This window comes from Homo sapiens, chromosome 5 (assembly GCF_000001405.40).
Source record: "Homo sapiens chromosome 5, GRCh38.p14 Primary Assembly".
NCBI classification, from domain to species: Eukaryota; Metazoa; Chordata; class Mammalia; order Primates; family Hominidae; genus Homo; species Homo sapiens.
In genome coordinates this window covers 75,769-94,423 of record NC_000005.10, presented here as the reverse complement: position 1 = coordinate 94,423, position 18,655 = coordinate 75,769, and the positions used below count along the sequence as shown (strand labels likewise).

The 18,655-nt window shown below is 53.7% G+C and overlaps 1 protein-coding gene across 1 annotated transcript in view, besides 3 other annotated features; it reads right to left on the bottom strand.

Annotated features, from left to right (window-relative positions):
- PLEKHG4B (pleckstrin homology and RhoGEF domain containing G4B) overlaps positions 1-2,256 on the bottom strand; it is a 97,799-nt gene extending 95,543 nt beyond the window's left edge. The window contains exon 1 of the mRNA NM_052909.5: positions 2,148-2,256. Coding sequence (NP_443141.4) covers positions 2,148-2,192 — 45 coding nt within the window. The 5' untranslated portion in view covers positions 2,193-2,256. The remainder of the gene's footprint in view (positions 1-2,147) is intronic.
- Positions 3,217-4,056: an enhancer, noted in NCBI's record as "H3K27ac-H3K4me1 hESC enhancer chr5:90483-91322 (GRCh37/hg19 assembly coordinates)". NCBI's record gives its function as "activates a minimal SCP1, AML or CMV promoter by ChIP-STARR-seq in naive H9 embryonic stem cells {active_cell/tissue: H9 hESC(naive)}" and the evidence as "EXISTENCE:reporter gene assay evidence [ECO:0000049][PMID:30033119]".
- Positions 11,516-11,810: a silencer, noted in NCBI's record as "tiled region #259; K562 Repressive non-DNase unmatched - State 21:Repr". NCBI's record gives its function as "represses a minimal TATA promoter and a strong SV40 promoter by Sharpr-MPRA in K562 cells {active_cell/tissue: K562}" and the evidence as "EXISTENCE:reporter gene assay evidence [ECO:0000049][PMID:27701403]".
- Positions 16,274-17,173: an enhancer, noted in NCBI's record as "H3K4me1 hESC enhancer chr5:77366-78265 (GRCh37/hg19 assembly coordinates)". NCBI's record gives its function as "activates a minimal SCP1, AML or CMV promoter by ChIP-STARR-seq in naive H9 embryonic stem cells {active_cell/tissue: H9 hESC(naive)}" and the evidence as "EXISTENCE:reporter gene assay evidence [ECO:0000049][PMID:30033119]".

Sequence of the window (18,655 nt, the reverse complement as noted above, 5' to 3'; positions counted from 1 at the left end):
TGGGGTCTCGGGTCAGACAAAGTCTGAGGCTCTGTCTTCAACAGCATGGTGGAAGAAGGGAGCCCCTCACCACACACGTGGCACCTGAGGTCTTGGCTGGACCCAACAGCACTGGCCTGTCCACAGGGAGCACCTGCCCTGCCAGGTGTGGGGCGACCCAGGTGGGGAACAGAACCGCTGCCGCAGGGCACAGAAGCACTGATGCTGTATCAGCCAGGAGAGGCACCAAAATTTCAGGGCCCTTGAGGGGAGAAGGAGAACCAGGACCTTGAGTTTGGCTCAAACCTAGCTTTGCTGCTTCTTGGCAGTGAGATGCTGGGCAGGTGTTGAAGCCTCAATTTCCACTATCTATAGAATGAGTAGCCCCACCTTGGAGGTCTGAGGTGAGAGTTAGGAGGCTCTAGATGGCCTGACTTTTGTTCAAACGCAAAGAGAGGACAAACTCATTCTGTTTGGAAGGAGGGAGGCAGTGGTGTCTGAGCTAGACTCAGATGATTTCCCACAAAAATCTCTGAGATCTGGGGATCTGGGGCCTCCTGTGTTTGGCTGGATGATACAACCTGTGAATACAGGTCTCAGGGAGCCTTGGGGCAAATTACTTCCTCAGCCCAGCATTTCTGGGCTACTTTACAAGTAACGAAGAATTCCTTTGAGACCACCGGCCAGCTTGAGAGCTAGCCAGTGCCACAGATCCCACAAAGGTGATTTCAGACTAGACCCACCCCCCAGAAAGGCCAGCAGCGCCCCTCTACCAGGATAAAAGATGAGAAGGCTCCGGCTAACACAGGGGACCTGACACCCTGGCCTACCGGCTGCCTGCGGGGTCAAGCCTGTGTGCTCCCAGCCCAGGCCACATCTGCATTTGCACACCGGATGCCGCACAGTGAAATAAAAACCTGGTATCTCCTCAGAAGCAGGAATATGAACCCACTTCTCGGTGGGGGGGTCACCAAACACTGCTTCCCAGTGGGTTGTGATCCCATAGGGAATGGAAATGCTGAATATATCACAGAATCTCGGAGACGGCGGCCTCCTCAAGATCTCCGAAGTTCCTTCTGACCCAGAGAGCCTGGAATTTTGTGAATTCGAGGCAGGCTCAGGGAAATTGAAAGCTAAAACTCACCTTTGTCCACATTACATGAAGATTTACATTAAATCTCTTCGGGAAGCTGAGAAACCTACCTTCCCAGGAATCTTGATTCAGGACCCACCCAGCTGCCTAAGGCTCAGTCAAAAGTATCAATTATGCACCGTTTCAATGACATTTAACTTAATTTTTAAATTATATGTTTCAATTCTTAATTAGACACCTAGACGTACCAACTAAACTTTTTAGGCAAAAGTGCTGTTGGGTAACAGGAGTAGAGTGTAATTACCTCACCTCAACCACTCTTTAGTTTCACACGAAACAGGGAAAGGCAAACCCAATATACTTTTTGCAACTCACATGAAAAACCTGAAAACAGCTTTATCACTCTTTCACCAAAGCTGAAATAACTGTCTTGTTTTACTAGCAAATGTTTCTTACTCAAATCAACTAGCACTCCAACACAAAAGTCAATCTTGGTATTTTTAAGTAAAAATTCTCTTTGTTCCGGGCCACCACAGATCACTGTTCTGTCCCACCGGTTTGAGCTGAAGAGTAACTTAGCAACTCTCAGTTTTGGCGATGAGATTTCAGACTCCCCTCCCCTGGCTCCCCTTCAGGCACCGAGAGGGCAAATCTGTCCAGAAAGCGTTATTTCTTCTCCCGAGTATTCACGAGGTTACAAGGAAAAGGGTGCCTGAAGAAGCTCCCTCCCGTTCCCGCAGCAGCCGCCGGCAGGTCCCAGGACCCACGCCAGGACCCCCAGCACGTCTGGGTACCCGCGCCCCCTCCCACCCCAGTCCCCGCGCCCGCCCGCCTTGATGCTCGCGCCTTCACCCCGCCCCTACCCCCGCGCCCCCACCCGCCCCTACCCCGGCGCCCCCACCCGCCCCTACTCCCGCGTCCGCTCGCGCCCCCACCCCACCCCTACCCCCGCGCCCCCACCCGCCCCTACTCCGGCGCCCCCCCCCACCCCGCCCCTACCCCCGCGCCCCCACCCGCCCCTACTCCCGCGTCCGCTCGCGCCCCCACCCGCCGCAGTCCCCGTGCCCCCTCTTACCCGGGCGCCTGGGCCGCCCCCGCCGTCTGCTGTGCTGAAACCCATGCTGGACCCTGGTCTCCCGAACTCCGACGCTTTCCCCGAACTCTGCCTGGTCCCGCTGTGCACTGGGCCGAGGCCGCCTTCGCCGCGCGCGTTCCCGGGGCCCCGCCCGATCCGGGCGAGAGAGGGGCGGGGCCGGGGTCTCCCCTAGGAGGCTCCGAGGGTCCGGCCGGGGCGGGGCGTCTCCCCTGGACCCGGCTGCGCAGCTCCCGCCTAGCCCCGGACGCGCCCACCTGGGCGGCTCCTCCCCGAGCGCGGGCGGCAGTGGCTTCTGCTTTTGTTCTCTCGGAGCCCGGAGCTCGGGGACCTGCCATTTTGTGGATGCCACGTTGCACCCGGACGGGCCCCTGGTTTCCATAACGTAGAGGCACAAATCTGAATGCTCCAGGGCAGAGGATCTGACCCCTGAGTTCTGCCAGTGTACCCGGACGGGACCCCGATTTCCCCTGGTCTAGGCGGACCAGCTCCAGATTTCTGCAGGTGTGGACGGCCCAGGCCCTCTCCTCCGTCCAGGGGCCGCTGTGGGAACTACGTGCCACCCCGCGCCTGGCTTGGATAATGAAGGGCTTCAGCGAGGGCCCCAAATTCCATCACCCTCCCCCCCCACAACTCAGGGTGCCTCGGGGTGTCTGGTGCTCTGGAACATGCTTTCCCCAAAGGTGCAATTTTAATGCCTTGATCTACAAAGAGCCTCCCAAAACAAAGTCCCTCTCCCGCCCGTTAGTCCAGGGTGCTCTGGGCACCAGCTTCCTGCTGGGAATTCAGCTAGGGAGTGTCTCATAAGGTCCACTCCGTCCAGGAGGGCCTCACAGGGACCCCACCTCAACCTGTCCCCTCAACTTGTCCCTCACCCCTACCCTGGCACCATCCCAAAAACTGCGGCACAGATGTGCTCATTGACAGATAATGCTCCGTTTTGTCACAGGTTACAGAGTGGATGAAGCTCAGGGACACAGCTGGGAGCCTCCCTCCTATGCAGCTCAGGGACACAGCTGGGAGCCTCCCTCCTATGCAGCAGGCAGTCAGTCTCCCTGGGATCTCCGTCGAGGCCTCCTTGAGTCTCTGTCTACTCCTTCCTAGAATCCCTGTCCACACCTCCCTGGGATCCCCTCGAGGCCTCCCTCCCTTGAGTTTCTGTCTACTCCTCCCTGGAATCCCTGGCTGCGCCCCGCCTTGATTCTCCATCTACACCTGTGTTCTCACTGTTCCCTGTCCTGCTTACTTGCTCTGCTTCCTAGAACCTCCAGCCCCATCCCTGAGCCCAGGCAGGGAGCTGACCTGTTCCTGCCCTCTGTGCTGGGTATCTGGGTGTCCCTCTGTGCTGGCCCCTACCTGAGGCCCCCAACACCCCTGCCACACCCTCCTCCCAGCCCGTCCTCGTGACAGTACTGCCCACGGTGCTGTCCAGGATGGGAGCCACCTTTCTAAGCCTGTGTGGCCCCACAGCTCCTGCCAGAGCAGGACCCAAGAATGCTGGCATGCCTCCAGAATAAACGGCTTCATCCCTGTTCAGCACCTCCAGGACGGTCAGCAGTGACCCAGTGGCGCCTGGTCAGGGTGCAGCCCGGAATCTCACTCTTACTGGAGACTTTGGGGCCCGTGGTAGGAGCTCACCCCTGCCACACCTCCACTATACAGAAAGAAAGTGGGACCGTGTGGGGCTTTCTCAGCCCAGGAGTCCTTTGTGAGCTTCTCCAGCCCGTTTCTACAGATCTGGTTCTTTCTTTGCCATGGATCCATGGAATTAGGGATGTTTTCTAGGGAGTTTTTCCAAAACATGGACTATTAACATAGCTTGGTTTATTCAAAAAGTACTTACTGATCAACTACTACTGGTAGTCACAGCACAGCCCCCATCTCTGGGAAGCTGACATTCCAGTGGAGGGAAATAAACCAGTGGACAGAACACAAATCCGGTCAAGGAAGGCCTCTCTGATGGGGCAGGCTGAGCAGACACTGAGAGGAAGCTACCTGGGACTTGAAGGCAAAGGAGCCACCTGTGCAAAGGCCCTATGGGGTGGGGGGGGGGCAGATCTGGTGAGCTCACAAACACAGCGAAAGTGGGGACACTCAGAGGGGATGGAGTTAGAAAGGAAGCGACCTGTTCCGACTTACATTTCAGAGAGCTCAGCAGGCGGAGGCAGGAGATCAGGAAGTGGATGCCTGATCTTGGTGAAAGTGATGAGGTTGGGTTCCAGGGGAGTGACAGAGGTCATGGGAAATGGTCAAAGCAGGACCTGTAAAGGCAGAGGGGGCAGGACTGCTGAAAAGCTGGCTGCGGAGACAGAACCCAAAGAGCACAGAGGCAGACACTGAATTAGTGACCCTGCCACCGCCCCCCCCCCCCGGGGTGTGCCCTCCAGTGTGCAGAAGCTGGAGGCCATAATGCCACGCTCCGGGATCCCTTGCAGCTGGTGTGCAGATGTGCCCGGTTTTGCCAGGAGATGCACCACATGAGATGTGGAAGGAACACAGGAATCGGGCTGGACACAGCAGATGGATGTTGAGGTGTTTGGTTCTTCTGGGTCCCGTCCCTGGCATTGTTGGTGCTGAGCAGCAGGGGACGGGGAGGGGGGTTTCCCTAACACAGTCCTACAGCGTGGCTGGGTGTTTCTCCAGGGTTGTGGTTGTTTCTCGCTGTTCTGGTTTCCTGACTCTCCCATGGATGCTATGATCTACCCAATGGCTTCACACATATCCTCACTGCTTAAATTAGCTATAGCGGATTCTGCTGTCTGCAGTCACGAGTCAGCACCAACACAGCAATTCAAGGATTTGGGGCCTGACCAGCAGGTGGAAGGTGTTTCCACTGACTGAGATGGGAGAGACTGGAGAAGCATGTCTGGGGGGAAATGCCATATTAAGATTGAGATGCCTATTGAACATACTGAGTGGACTGACTGCTGTATGAGTTTGGTGCTTGGAGTAGCGGTTGGGTTAGAGATGTGGTTCTAGAACCATCTACCACACAGTTGTGTCTAGACAGGTGGAACTAAGTGTGTGGACAGAGGGGAGGAGGAACCAGGACTGGGCCAGGAAATGTGTCCATGCTTAGAAGTCACAAGAGTAGATAGATCTCTTTCACAAACTCTTTTTAAAAACTGGAATGGAGGGACCGCTTCCTAACATATGGTAGGAGGCCAGCCCTTCTCAGATACCAAAGCCAGATGAAGACATTGTGAGTAAAGAAAAACTACACACCAATATCCCTTATGACTACAGATGCAAAAAGCCTCAAAAGAAAGTCAGGGAATAGTATGTTAAAAGGACTATTCACCATGACCGAGTGGGATTTATCCCAAGAACACAGGGGTGGTTCAATATAAGAAAATCAGTCAATGTCGTGCACTGCAGTAGCAGCACGAAGGGAGAAAACCCACACGATCATCTCAATCGATGCAGAAAGGGCTTCTGAAAATGCAATACCCTTTCAGAAAAAAAGTTCTTGGAAAACAAGGATGGGAGAAAATTCCTCAAGTAATACAAAGTATTTATGAAAAACCCACAGCTAACATCATACTCAATGGCAAGACTGAACATTTTCCCCAAGATCAGGAAGAAGACAAGTGCCCACTGCTGCCATGTCTAGTCAACACTCTGCTGCAAGTTCCAGCGACAGCAACAGAGACAACCAACAAAAAATAAATAAATGAAAGACTTTCAAATTGAAAAGGATGAGGTAAAACTCTATTCACAGGTAACATGTTCCTATATAGAGAAAATTCCAAAGAATACACAAAAAGCTACTAGAGCTAATACAAAAATTCAACAGTTACAGGGTACAAGATTAACATGTGAAAATCGGTATTTGTATTTCTATACAACAGCAATGAACAATATGAAAAGGAAATTAAGAAAGCAATTCTATTTACAATAGCATCCAAAAGAATTAAATACCTAGAAATAAGTTTAACCAAGGAAGTGAAAGATTTGTATGCTAAAAACTACAAAATATTGAGGAAGAAGTTCAAGAAACAAATATATGGAAAGCCAATGTCATGTTCATAGATAGAAAGACAACATTGCTAGGACGTAAATACTCATCAAAATGATCTACAGATTCAATGCAATCTCTGTCAACATTGCAATGGCTTTTTTTTTTGCAGAAATGAAAAAGCAGGTCCCCAAATTCACGTGGAATTGCAAGGGGCCCCAAATAGCAAAAACAATCTTGGAAAAAGAATAACAAAATTAGAAGACTCATACATACTTCCTGAATTTGAAATGTACCCCAAAGCTACAGTAATTAAAACAGTACAGTACTACCATCAGGACAGACCAACAGAATAGAAAAGAGAGCCTGGAAATAAATGCTTAACATAGACAGTCAAATGATTTTTGGCAAGGGTGCCAAGAACATTCACTGTGTAAAGGACAGTCTTTTCATCAAATGGCACTGGGAAAACTGGATATCCATATGCAGAAGAATGAAGTTAAAGCTCACCTTACACCTGTAAAAAATTAACTCAAAATGAATCAAAGACCTAAACTTAAGAGCTAAAACTATAAAACTCTCAAGGAAAACACTGAAGTAAATCTTCATGGCATTGGATTTGGCAACAATTTCATGGATATTAAAGCAAAAGCATTGGAAATGAAGTTAGATAATGAGTTTCATCAAAATAAGACCTTTTTTTACATTGAAGCACACTCTCAAGAAAGCAAAAAGACAATCTGCCAAGTGGAGAAAATATCTGCAAATCACATATCTGATAAGGGCCTAATTTCCAGAATATATGAAGAACTAAAACTCAACAACAAAACAACCCAATTTAAAAATGGGCAAGTAAGTTGAATAGACATTTCTGCAAAGAAGATAGACAAATAAGCACATGAAATGATGCTCAACATTAGTTATTACAGAACTACAAATCAAAACCATAATGATACTACTTCATGCCTGCTAGAATGGCTCTAGTAATATACTTTTTTCATGCTAAGTGAGTGTTGGCTAGGATGTGGAGAAGTTGGTACCCACAGGTTAGGGGGAATGTAAGATTGTGTAGCCACTGCAGAAAAGTCTGGTGGTGCCTCAAAGAGTGAAACATAGATGTACCATAGGACCCAGGCATTCCACTCCTAGTTGGCAGATCCAAAAGAACTGAAAGTAGGGACTTGAACAGATATCTGTACACCAACATTCATGGCATTAATCACTACCGCCAAAAGATAGAAACAAACCAAGTGTCCATGCAGACATGAAAGGACCGATACTGTATGATCCCACTTCTATAAGGGAACTTGAACAGGCAGATTCATAAGGAGAAAATGTAGACATTACCACAGCCTGGGCAAGAGAGAAATGGGGAGTTCTCACCCGGGTACAGAGTTGATGTCTGGGATAGGGAAAGTGTTGGGTATAGATAGTGACGATAGTTATACAAATTGTGAACATATTTAAATGCCACTAGAAGCTACACTCAACAAATGGTTAGAATTGTAATTATTGCATATACTCTACCACAATACAAAATAATAGCAGTACTATAACCACTCAATCATGAATTATAACTGATTATAAAAAATAATGTGTTATGACAGATTTCTAGATAAAAACTTTTGGTTGCAAAAGTCCAAAATATGGATGAACCAACAAAGGCTGTTGCAAAGGAGCAGCCAGTGAGGTAGGAAGAAGGGTTTCATGTCCCAGGTCCAAGGAAGAAAGTGTTTTAAAAGGGGGAAAATGACAAATCTTGGCTAAATGCTATTGGTCCATCAAGATGGGAACTGAGAACTGATCATTAGATTTAGCAACAGATAGATCACTGGTGACCTCAGAGCAGCATCCACAGAGTGGTGGGGACAGCGGCTCAATGTGAAGGGGACAGAGTCAATCAGAAAGGTGAGGCGAGAAGGGGATGGAGGGGGGGGAGGAGCAGGGAGGGGAGAGCGAGGGGGAGAGAGTGTGGGGGAGAGAGGGGGGATCATGGGAGGGGGGCGAGAGGGGGAGGGGGAGGCAAGTGGGGAGACGGGCAGACAGAGAAAGACAGGAAGAGATTTTCTACAAAGGGAGTAAACGTTGCAACATCTGGAGAAGGAAGTGGGGGTATCAAACGCCCCCTTCTTGAGCCATCAGGGGTGGAAAGTCTGTTTGTCCTATACTGAGGAATTGTTAGTTATACTTTTCTTGAATATGTGTGGACTAGATCTTTTAAAATTTTTAATTTCATGAAAAAGAGCAAAAACGTCTTTCTGAGTTTGCATAAACATTCTGGCAGACCGGCTCTTGCAGCACTGGTCCATCCCAGGATGCTGTGGCCATCCACAGGATGCCTGAGCTCAGAGACCTCCACGCTCCCGTGGAGTCAGCACAGCCTTGGAAATGGCTGTGTGTTGAGCCCTCACATTGCACGTGTGGCACCTGTCCCGGCCTGGCCCTCAGTGACAGATGGCAGCACCCTCACAGACACTGCAGGTGTGCTCGCCAGCATCAGCCGTGGAAGAAAAAGGAGTGTTTCAGGGCCAGCCTGTTTTTCTCTGGGGACAAACAGAACCAGGGCCCCAGGGTGTGGACACTGCAGTGTCTTGAATGCCACTGCATCCATAACCCAGGGACGGTGGTTGGAGCAGGAGGTGTGTGTGAGTGTGAGAGGCGGGGCCAGGCCCCAATGCCTCTCCTCCAGCCACAGGCCTCCCCACATGCCAGGCACACCTCAGACACAGAACTTCACCCACAGTTCCCTCTGCCCCACACACACTCCCCGATCTCTGCCTGGCCCGACCCCTCCCTCCTGCGTATGTCTGCTCGCTGCCTCTCATCGAGGCTTCCCTGACCACCCGGCCTCTCATCGAGCCTTCCCTGACCACCCTGCCTCCCATCGAGGCTTCCCCGACCACCCTGCCTCCCATCGAGGCTTCCCCGACCACCCGGCCTCTCATCGAGCCTTCCCTGACCACCCGGCCTCTCATCAAGGCTTCCCCGACCACCCGGCCTCTCATCGAGGCTTCCCCGACCACCCGGCCTCTCATCGAGGCTTCCCCGACCACCCGGCCTCTCATCGAGGCTTCCCCGACCACCCGGCCTCCCATCAAGGCTTCCCCGACCACCCGGCCTCTCATCGAGCCTTCCCTGACCACCCTGCCTCCCATCGAGGCTTCCCCGACCACCCTGCCTCCCATCGAGGCTTCCCCGACCACCCGGCCTCCCATCGAGGCTTCCCCGACCACCCGGCCTCTCATCGAGCCTTCCCTGACCACCCTGCCTCCCATCGAGGCTTCCCCGACCACCCTGCCTCCCATCGAGGCTTCCCCGACCACCCGGCCTCTCATCGAGCCTTCCCCGACCACCCGGCCTCTCATCAAGGCTTCCCCGACCACCCGGCCTCTCATCGAGGCTTCCCCGACCACCCGGCCTCCCATCAAGGCTTCCCCGACCACCCGGCCTCTCATCGAGCCTTCCCTGACCACCCTGCCTCCCATCGAGGCTTCCCCGACCACCCTGCCTCCCATCGAGGCTTCCCCGACCACCCTGCCTCCCATCGAGGCTTCCCCGACCACCCTGCCTCCCATCGAGGCTTCCCCGACCACCCTGCCTCTCATCGAGCCTTCCCTGACCACCCGGCCTCTCATCGAGGCTTCCCCGACCACCCGGCCTCTCATCGAGGCTTCCCCGACCACCCGGCCTCTCATCGAGCCTTCCCCGACCACCCGGCCTCCCATCGAGGCTTCCCCGACCACCCTGCCTCCCATCGAGGCTTCCCCGACCACCCTGCCTCTCATCGAGCCTTCCCTGACCACCCGGCCTCTCATCGAGGCTTCCCCGACCACCCGGCCTCTCATCGAGGCTTCCCTGACCACCCGGCCTCTCATCGAGGCTTCCCCGACCACCCGGCCTCCCATCGAGGCTTCCCCGACCACCCTGCCTCCCATCGAGGCTTCCCCGACCACCCGGCCTCCCATCGAGGCTTCCCCGACCACCCGGCCTCTCATCGAGCCTTCCCCGACCACCCGGCCTCTCATCAAGGCTTCCCCGACCACCCGGCCTCTCATCGAGGCTTCCCCGACCACCCGGCCTCCCATCAAGGCTTCCCCGACCACCCGGCCTCTCATCGAGCCTTCCCTGACCACCCTGCCTCCCATCGAGGCTTCCCCGACCACCCTGCCTCCCATCGAGGCTTCCCCGACCACCCTGCCTCCCATCGAGGCTTCCCCGACCACCCTGCCTCCCATCGAGGCTTCCCCGACCACCCGGCCTCCCATCGAGGCTTCCCTGACCACCCGGCCTCTCATCGAGGCTTCCCCGACCACCCGGCCTCCCATCGAGGCTTCCCCGACCACCCTGCCTCCCATCGAGCCTTCCCTGACCACCCGGCCTCTCATCGAGGCTTCCCCGACCACCCGGCCTCCCATCGAGGCTTCCCCGACCACCCTGCCTCCCATCGAGGCTTCCCCGACCACCCGGCCTCTCATCGAGGCTTCCCCGACCACCCGGCCTCTCATCGAGCCTTCCCTGACCACCCGGCCTCTCATCAAGGCTTCCCCGACCACCCGGCCTCCCATCGAGGCTTCCCCGACCACCCGGCCTCTCATCGAGCCTTCCCTGACCACCCGGCCTCTCATCAAGGCTTCCCCGACCACCCGGCCTCTCATCGAGGCTTCCCCGACCACCCGGCCTCTCATCGAGCCTTCCCCGACCACCCTGCCTCCCATCGAGCCTTCCCCGACCACCCGGCCTCCCATCGAGGCTTCCCCGACCACCCGGCCTCTCATCGAGGCTTCCCCGACCACCCGGCCTCTCATCGAGGCTTCCCTGACCACCCGGCCTCTCATCGAGCCTTCCCTGACCACCCGGCCTCTCATCGAGCCTTCCCCGACCACCCAGCCTTTCATCGAAGCTTCCCCGACCACCCTGCCTCTCATCGAGCCTTCCCCGACCACCCGGCCTCTCATCGAGGCTTCCCCGACCACCCGGCCTCTCATCGAGGCTTCCCCAACCACCTGGCCTCTCATGGAGGCTTCCCTGACCACCCTCCCTCTCATCAAGGCTTCCCTGACTACCTGGCCTCTCATCAAGGCTTCCCTGACCACCCTCCCTCTGATCGAGGCTTCCCTGACCACCCGGCCTCTCAACGAGGCTTCCCAGTAACATACCCTGTGAATCACTTATGCTGATACCCAGTTTATAGTTTCATGTTTAGCATCTCTCTCTCCCACTGGAATATTAGCCCCTAGAATGGTGCCCAGCACACAATGGACACCCAATAAAGATTTGTTGAATGAATGAATATATGATCTTAAAAAGTCTCCTGGTTCCAGAAATACTCATGAATTCATACAGTATTAGTTGCACACGGTTACTGAGAGACACTGTGCATTACTAAATAATTCATGTAACGCTTAAGAATGACACTTAGTATTCGGCAAATCCCCTCCAGCAACACCGGAGAGGGGAACTCACATGCAACGCACAAGGACCCTCCTTAACCTGGGCGAGGACCGGATCACTGACCGGCTTGTGCGAGGCAGCTCAAAGCCTCACTAAAGACAGACAGGAAAAGAGCCGCATCTGCTGAAGTTCTGCTTCCAGGCTTAACATGTTTTTCCTCAAACCATTGGCATTTCCAATTTAAACAAACATGAAAACTGCAAGAGCACTAAGATAAAAAAAAATTAAACATGTTAAAATAAAAGTTTCTAAGGTGAATTTCCCACCTCTTCTGAGATACACGTAGGAACAAACCCCTTGATCACTAGCCCCATAATCATGAAGCACGTGAATTGAAGATTTTTCCTCAGGCAAAAACAGTTAAAACTAGACAGTGCCAGCAAAAATCTACCTGTTCTTATCCTGCAGACCCATCACCCCTCCAGGGAGCTCAGTGGGAGCCTGGGGCACAGTCTGCTCATATTCATTTCATTATGCACAGGGTTGCAGCCCAGCACAAAGCAAGACGCAGACCCGCACAGGGAGGCAAACATTCCACCCTGCCCTGGAATGTGAGTTATTTCGGGGCAGCCTCTCTGCGGCTCCACACATCAAGCCGGCCAGTGACAGACGGGGAGGGTCAGACACTGCAGCGCACAACAACCCTGCACTCAGCCTGGCAGATGCTGTGTGGTTTGGGCTTCAACACACCTGAAAGACTCAAAAACCAGAAAGAGGCCCCGTAAGCCATCTCTCACTTCCACACACGTTTCCTCGCCATCCTAAAGTCCAAGCCACCAGCCCTGCCTTCAGTGGAGTGCAAGGGAAAGACGCACTGGATGGACATGAATGAAGGGCCATGCTCCCCGTTCTGCAGGTCAAGGAACTGGGAGACCAGCCTCACCCTGGGCACTGGCTGTTCCCTCTTGCCCCATCCAGCTCCGGCTCCCTGCAGAACTCAGCCAGAGCCTTCCCCAGGAAGCCTCCCCTGGGCTCTGTGACCAGGCACCTGCTGCAACAGGCTGTGGGTGGGGAGCACTTGTCACGGTGTAAGTGCATGTGAATACTGTGGTTGTCTGGGTAGCATCTGGCTTCTCCACTAGGGCTTAAGCTCCGGAGGGCAGGACGCTGCTGTGTCCGCAGTGCTGACAGTGCAGTCAGTGGAGGTGCAAACAGAGCTGCTTCACGGTGACCCATGACCAACACAGTGTGCAGCTGCGCTCAGCGGGGAAGCCAGTTGACCATCTTCTGAGAGAGCGAGCCATGGTCCAAGGGACCGGCTGGGGGTTAACGAGGTAAAAGGAGGCCCTGGTTGGGAAAGCTGCAGTGCCACGTCCCAGGTGGACAGCCAGCTGTGGTCAGCAGTGGCCCACGAAGCCCAGAATGAGGGGTAGGGGCTGCCCTACGTGTTACCCTGGTGCGGCCGCGGATGCAGGCCTGGGCACCTGCCACATTTGTTCTCGCATCTGTGCAGCTGGGCATGACCAGGTTTTTCCAGGAAGATGGGCTTGGCCAAGAGCAGAAAGGGGGGATAGGAAGGCATCTGAGAAGTGGGATGCAAGAAAGGGAGGCTGGAGGCGGGAGGTGCTAAGTCCTGAAAGAAAACAGAGTGGATGTGTAGGTCTCCGGGGGAAGAGCATGCCAACACCAAGGATCTGTGGGGTCTTCAGCACTCACCAAGACCCAGTGCCCCTCCTCCCTGGGCACACATATCAGTGGGAGCATGTGACAGGGAAAGATTGGACATGACATAAAACAAGGTCCCTGGAGAATACTGGGAACCTGCAGCTGCCTTCACACAGTGACAGAAACTTCACTGCAACACACTGGAGATGGGAGTCGGATACACAGGACACAGTGCCCCTCCTCCCTGGGCACACATATCAGTGGGAGCATGTGACAGGGAAAGATTGGACATGACATAAAACAAGGTCCCTGGAGAATACTGGGAACCTGCAGCTGCCTTCACACAGTGACAGAAACTTCACTGCAACACACTGGAGATGGGAGTCGGATACACAGGACACAGGGGCCCTCCTTGGGACCCATGAGCTGAGAACCCAGGAAAGGAATAGAAAGTAAAGCGTCCTGTATGTTCTTCCACAAGAACAAAACGGTTGTTAGTGGATTTGGGATGCCTCTACAGAGGTTCCCTAGTGGGCAAAGGTGGTGGGAGGCGAAAAATGGAGGAAGCAAAATGAGGCAAATGATGGGGAGGAAAGATGGATGAGGAATGGGGACAAGGGGCTGGATGGAGAAGAAAGGCAGACATATTGGAATTGACTTGCACATTGACCTGGCAGCTGTCACCACAGAAAGAAGCTCAATGGAGCATGAGGAGATCCACAGGACCCAGGTATGCCATCCCACAACACAGCCACGGTGTCATTTTGTTGTATGGACAAATGTGAATTATTTATCAAGTTGAAAAAAACCCTCCAGGAATAGAGCCACTGGGATGCAGGAGGTAAGGAAGGTCCACTGAATCCAGCGAATGTCCCCTCATACGCACTGCAGGAAGGGGTGAAAGCCCAGTGCCCCCCATATCCTATTAGAGAACGGGGTAAAAGCCCAGTGCCCCCCCATATCCTCTTAGAGAATGAGGTGATAGCCCAGTGTCCCCCATATCCTCTTAGAGAACGGGGTGAAAGCCCAGTGCCCCCCATATCCTCTTAGAGAATGGGGTGAAAGCCTAGTGCCCCCCATATCCTCTACTACAGGACGTGGTGGCCCAGTGTTCACTATTACAGGATGGGGTGGGGGAGCCCAGTGTTCACTTATTTTCTGCTGCAGGGGTCCAGGCTGTGGTGGGTCATGGGTGTTAGGGCCAGGATGGCACCCCCAGGTCACATCCTGTAGGGTTCTTCCTGGGCCGCCCCCGCGGATGTCTCCAGCTTTGTATAAGGAGCAGTACACCTGTCCTGTGTGCACAAAGCATCCAAGTCACCACTGGAATCAACCTAGCTCCAAGTACACAATCTGGACTGATTGGCCAGGGCAGCCCGTTCCCCCAAGAGTGTGGGTCTAGATAGAGAATCCAAAGCACCTCACTGAAAGTTTCTATCAGCCTCATCTTAAAAAGATAAACAGAGGCAAACATAAATCGGTTAAATTAACTTGAAAAATATATTTTATGTAACCCAACATAACGAAAATACTGTCATATCAACACCTGATCGATACATAAATTATTGAGCTATTTTGCACTTTCATGCTGATCTTGGAAGCGTTGTCTGTCCATTACACTCCCGGTACATCTCACCATAGAGCGGCCACACTGCTCAGCAGACTCATCCTAGATGCTGCAGGCTGACAGCTCGTCCACTGCCTTCAGCCCAGAAGGCAGGAGCCACAGAGGGGCCCTCAGAAGGATCTAGACACTGGGCAAAGAACACACACGGTGCACAGCATTACGGGAGAGATGGTCACCCGGAAACCAGGGCTCTCCCTCCCCTTAATCCTGCTCAGCACGGCTCCCTGCCCACCCCTGTGGGCACACCTGAGACTACAAGGGCCTGCTGTTCTCTTGTTGGGGTGGCAGGACCCCGGGTTTGCTGCTGGTCTTGGTCATAGGCTGCTGCATTTCCTTCTTTCTTTACTAACCCGAGGCCAGTCCATCCAGGTTTACCCTCACTCTTTTCACACCTAATCCACACTCTCCTCTCTGCCATAAACCATCTCATCTTCATTATTTGGATGGACCAATCTTTTGATACATTAGGCATCTCCTACACTGTCATCTTTTAAAAAATGGCATGTATTCAACACCTAACTGCAACCCCCTGTAACCTATTCCAGATATACTAGGAAAAATTGCACCCAAAACTTTAGAACTGCTTTAGAATATAAATTCAATCCCTAATTAATGCAAGTCATGGAGGAGAAGAGAGGTGCTGAGCAGGCAGACGTGAGGCAGGGCCTCCACACTGGCGTTTGAGTTGGGAACCCTGATTCCTAACAGGAACCTGCTGGGACTGGCATCACAGCTTTGCCACCTTTTGCCCTGTAAGAAATGGTGATCAGCAGAGGAGGGTCAAGGAGGGCAGCCTAAGGAGGGCAGCTAGGGGTAAAGCAGTCAGCGCAAGGCAGCCTGGAGATGGCATCTTTTCAGCCCCCACGCACCCCCTAGTGGGCAGCACCCAAGGCTGCTGGCTTCACACAAAGCCCCAAGCATTGGCCTCCTCCAGGGTGAACAGAGCCACCTCGAGGCAGCCCTAGATGCAGAGGGACAGGATGCCAATTCCCGGCACAGGTGAGGTGGGCCCACTCACAGAACCTGAGGGCAGCCAACAGGACAAGAGGAAATGGGTTGGCAGAGGAGGCTCCCAGGCCACCCGAGCTGCCGTGGAAGATGTGCCTGGAGTTTCCCGATCTGATGCGTCTTACACAAGCAAGACTCTGCCAAGAGACCAGAGACGCACAGATGTTCTCCTTCTTCCTCCCTTAGGTTGGAGGGGCTTCTCTGAGGCGCCCAGAGTTGGGGGGCCTGGCCGACGACACCAGGGACTCTGTCCCCACTTCAGGCTGCATAATGGTGGTGGTGGCAGGGAGGCACTTGGAGCCTCCCGGGGAGGGGCCTCCTGCCTCCATGGGGCCATGGGAGGCTTGGCAGTTTCCGCCTCTTTGCCTCTGGACAAAAGTGCCTGGACCCAGCCTGGAATCAGCCTTTAGAAAACCCATGACAGGGGTGAGAAACCCCTGTGGTGTTCTGGGAATGTCAGGCATTTTTAATAGAGCAATGGAAAGAAGTCCTGGGGCCAGCAGTCTCCACGCCCCCAGACACAGAGACACAGTGACGCAGATCCCAGCACCCCACAGCAACACAAATGAGACAGGAACGCTAATGTGTAATGCAAAACACCAGGTTAGATTTCTACTTTTGACCAAAAACATCTTTCTGGTCTACTGATAGTTAAATAGTAGACAAGCAAAGATTATTAACTAAAGTCACATTTAAGTACAGAACATTATTCTGCACTTTTGATGAACGGCTTTCAGATTTGGGAACTTCACGGCAAGGCAGCTGGGCAGCAACGGCGAGTTGTCCAGCCAGGCCTGCGGCCTCCCCTGCTGTCATGCGGCTGTGGGACGCAGGTCTCTCCTGTGGGAGGCCCAGGTGTGCCTCCTCCATGCCCTCTTCCCCTTTTCACCTGGACACAGAAGCCATGGCTCTGGGGAAGGCAGAGCCACAGGCGGGAAGAGACCTGGGTCTCTAAATGGCCCACAGGAAAGAGCCACCTGCAGGCCGCACACCTGCCACGACTGTGTGAACAAGAAATGAATAACTGTGTCATGCTATTACCTTAATTCATTGGCATTTTAATGCTGCTGAATCCACCACAAGTCACTCTAATGAACTTCCACCCTTCAGAGTAAAGCAAGTTATGCTGACACCTGTCTGTGTGCATCCTCCTTAAAGTTGGTCACTGGATTGCGGCCGCTTCCTTATGAACAAGAAGTTCCCTCAGTGTCTGTCCCCACTGGACAAAAAGGAAAAGTCCTCCTCGGACTCTCATCTTTCCTGCCTGCACAGCCTCATCCCAAGCCAGCCAGGGAGGTCTGCAGATGGCAGTTTCAAAGGGGCTGTTATTCTTTCCAGCTGTTACTGCTCCCCTGAGCCAGACCCAACCTGCTGGGGCCACACACTTCTGTCCGTAACACCAACAGCCTCTGACCCTCTCTCCTGCCCTCTTCCTCCCCTCTGCATCCCCAGGGGCTACGGTATGCTGGGACAGTGATGAATGGTCCTGGCCCTAATTAGATCAGCCCTGTCCCCTCTTGCCCAGGCACCTGCGGGAGGCTCTGCCAGTCAACTCACCCTGTAGCACATGAGGCTGACCTACCCAGCATCGTCATGCACATGGGGCATCCACTCCGGGTCACACAGGACGCTAAGCACAGGGGAACAGATACAGAAGGACGGTGTCGACTCTGCATCTGGGGCAACCCTCCACAGCTCCTCGCTACACCCCCAGTTAACTGGGGCTTTAAGACATTGCCCAGTGCATCCTCCATCCGCCACCTGTCCGTGTGGCGCCCTGCCACTTCTGGTGTAGGCTAATTCCCCCGCTGCCAGCAGGCTCTGCTGAGGAGACCTCCTGACCCCTGTCCCTCCTAGGCCTCCTCTCCCATGGAGTCTCCCAGCCAGCCCCCATCTCTTCCTCCTCCTCCTATTTCTGTCCCTAGCACAGAGGTTTCCACAGCAGCACTGGGTGCGATGCCTGCACCCAGGACAGAGGAGCTGCTCAATGGCTGAGTTCAGTGGGTCGCAGCCGATACTCGGAAAGCCAGCGGGGACCCCGTGTCTTCTGACTCACTGCCATGGCCGACGCCAGACCTCCTTACTCCCAGCAGCCCTCTGTGGTCAAACAGTAAGGGCAGGGCACCTTTTGGGGTGAGGACACCATTTAATCTCCACCCCTTTGATGAGAATGAAAACTCTTAAAAATACTGTTGAAGGCGGCATGGCAGAGAATGAAGCCTGGAGACTGCAGATGAGCGTGAGGGAGGTGAGCGGGTGGGCTCACACCCAGACCCGCCCCTGACCTCTACCTCTCAGCAGAGTTGGCTTTCAGGCTTTATCTTCAACTTCTGTTAATACTTAAGGTCCACATGCCGCAGCGTGAAACACACCTGTAATTATGGGAGGCCACCACTTACCTCAGGGTTTCTCCACTGGTTCTTGTTTGAATGAAAGCCACAAGAGCAGCAGAGAGCGTGGGTATGTTGTCAATGTTCCTGTGGGCTGAATACTCATTATACATCCCCGTGGTGCCAAATGAGGCCACACTGGGTTACAAAGACAGAGGAGCAAGCAAAGGTTGGAAATGAGAAAATCAAGCTTCAATGACAGAGGAGCAAGCAAAGGTTGGAAATGAGAAAATCAAGCTTCAATGACAGAGGAGCAAGCAAAGTCTGGAAATGAGAAAATCAAGATTCGCCTACGCTGCAGAAAGCCCTTCTATGGATAATCATGAGTTGGAAGCAGGATGTTCCAAGTGCCCTCTCTGGGCTCCTAGAGGTGCCTGCGTGCCACGTAACAGATGTCCTAACAGTGAAACTGATCCAGGTTTCAGGCTGACACCAGCTTAAATGGCCACCA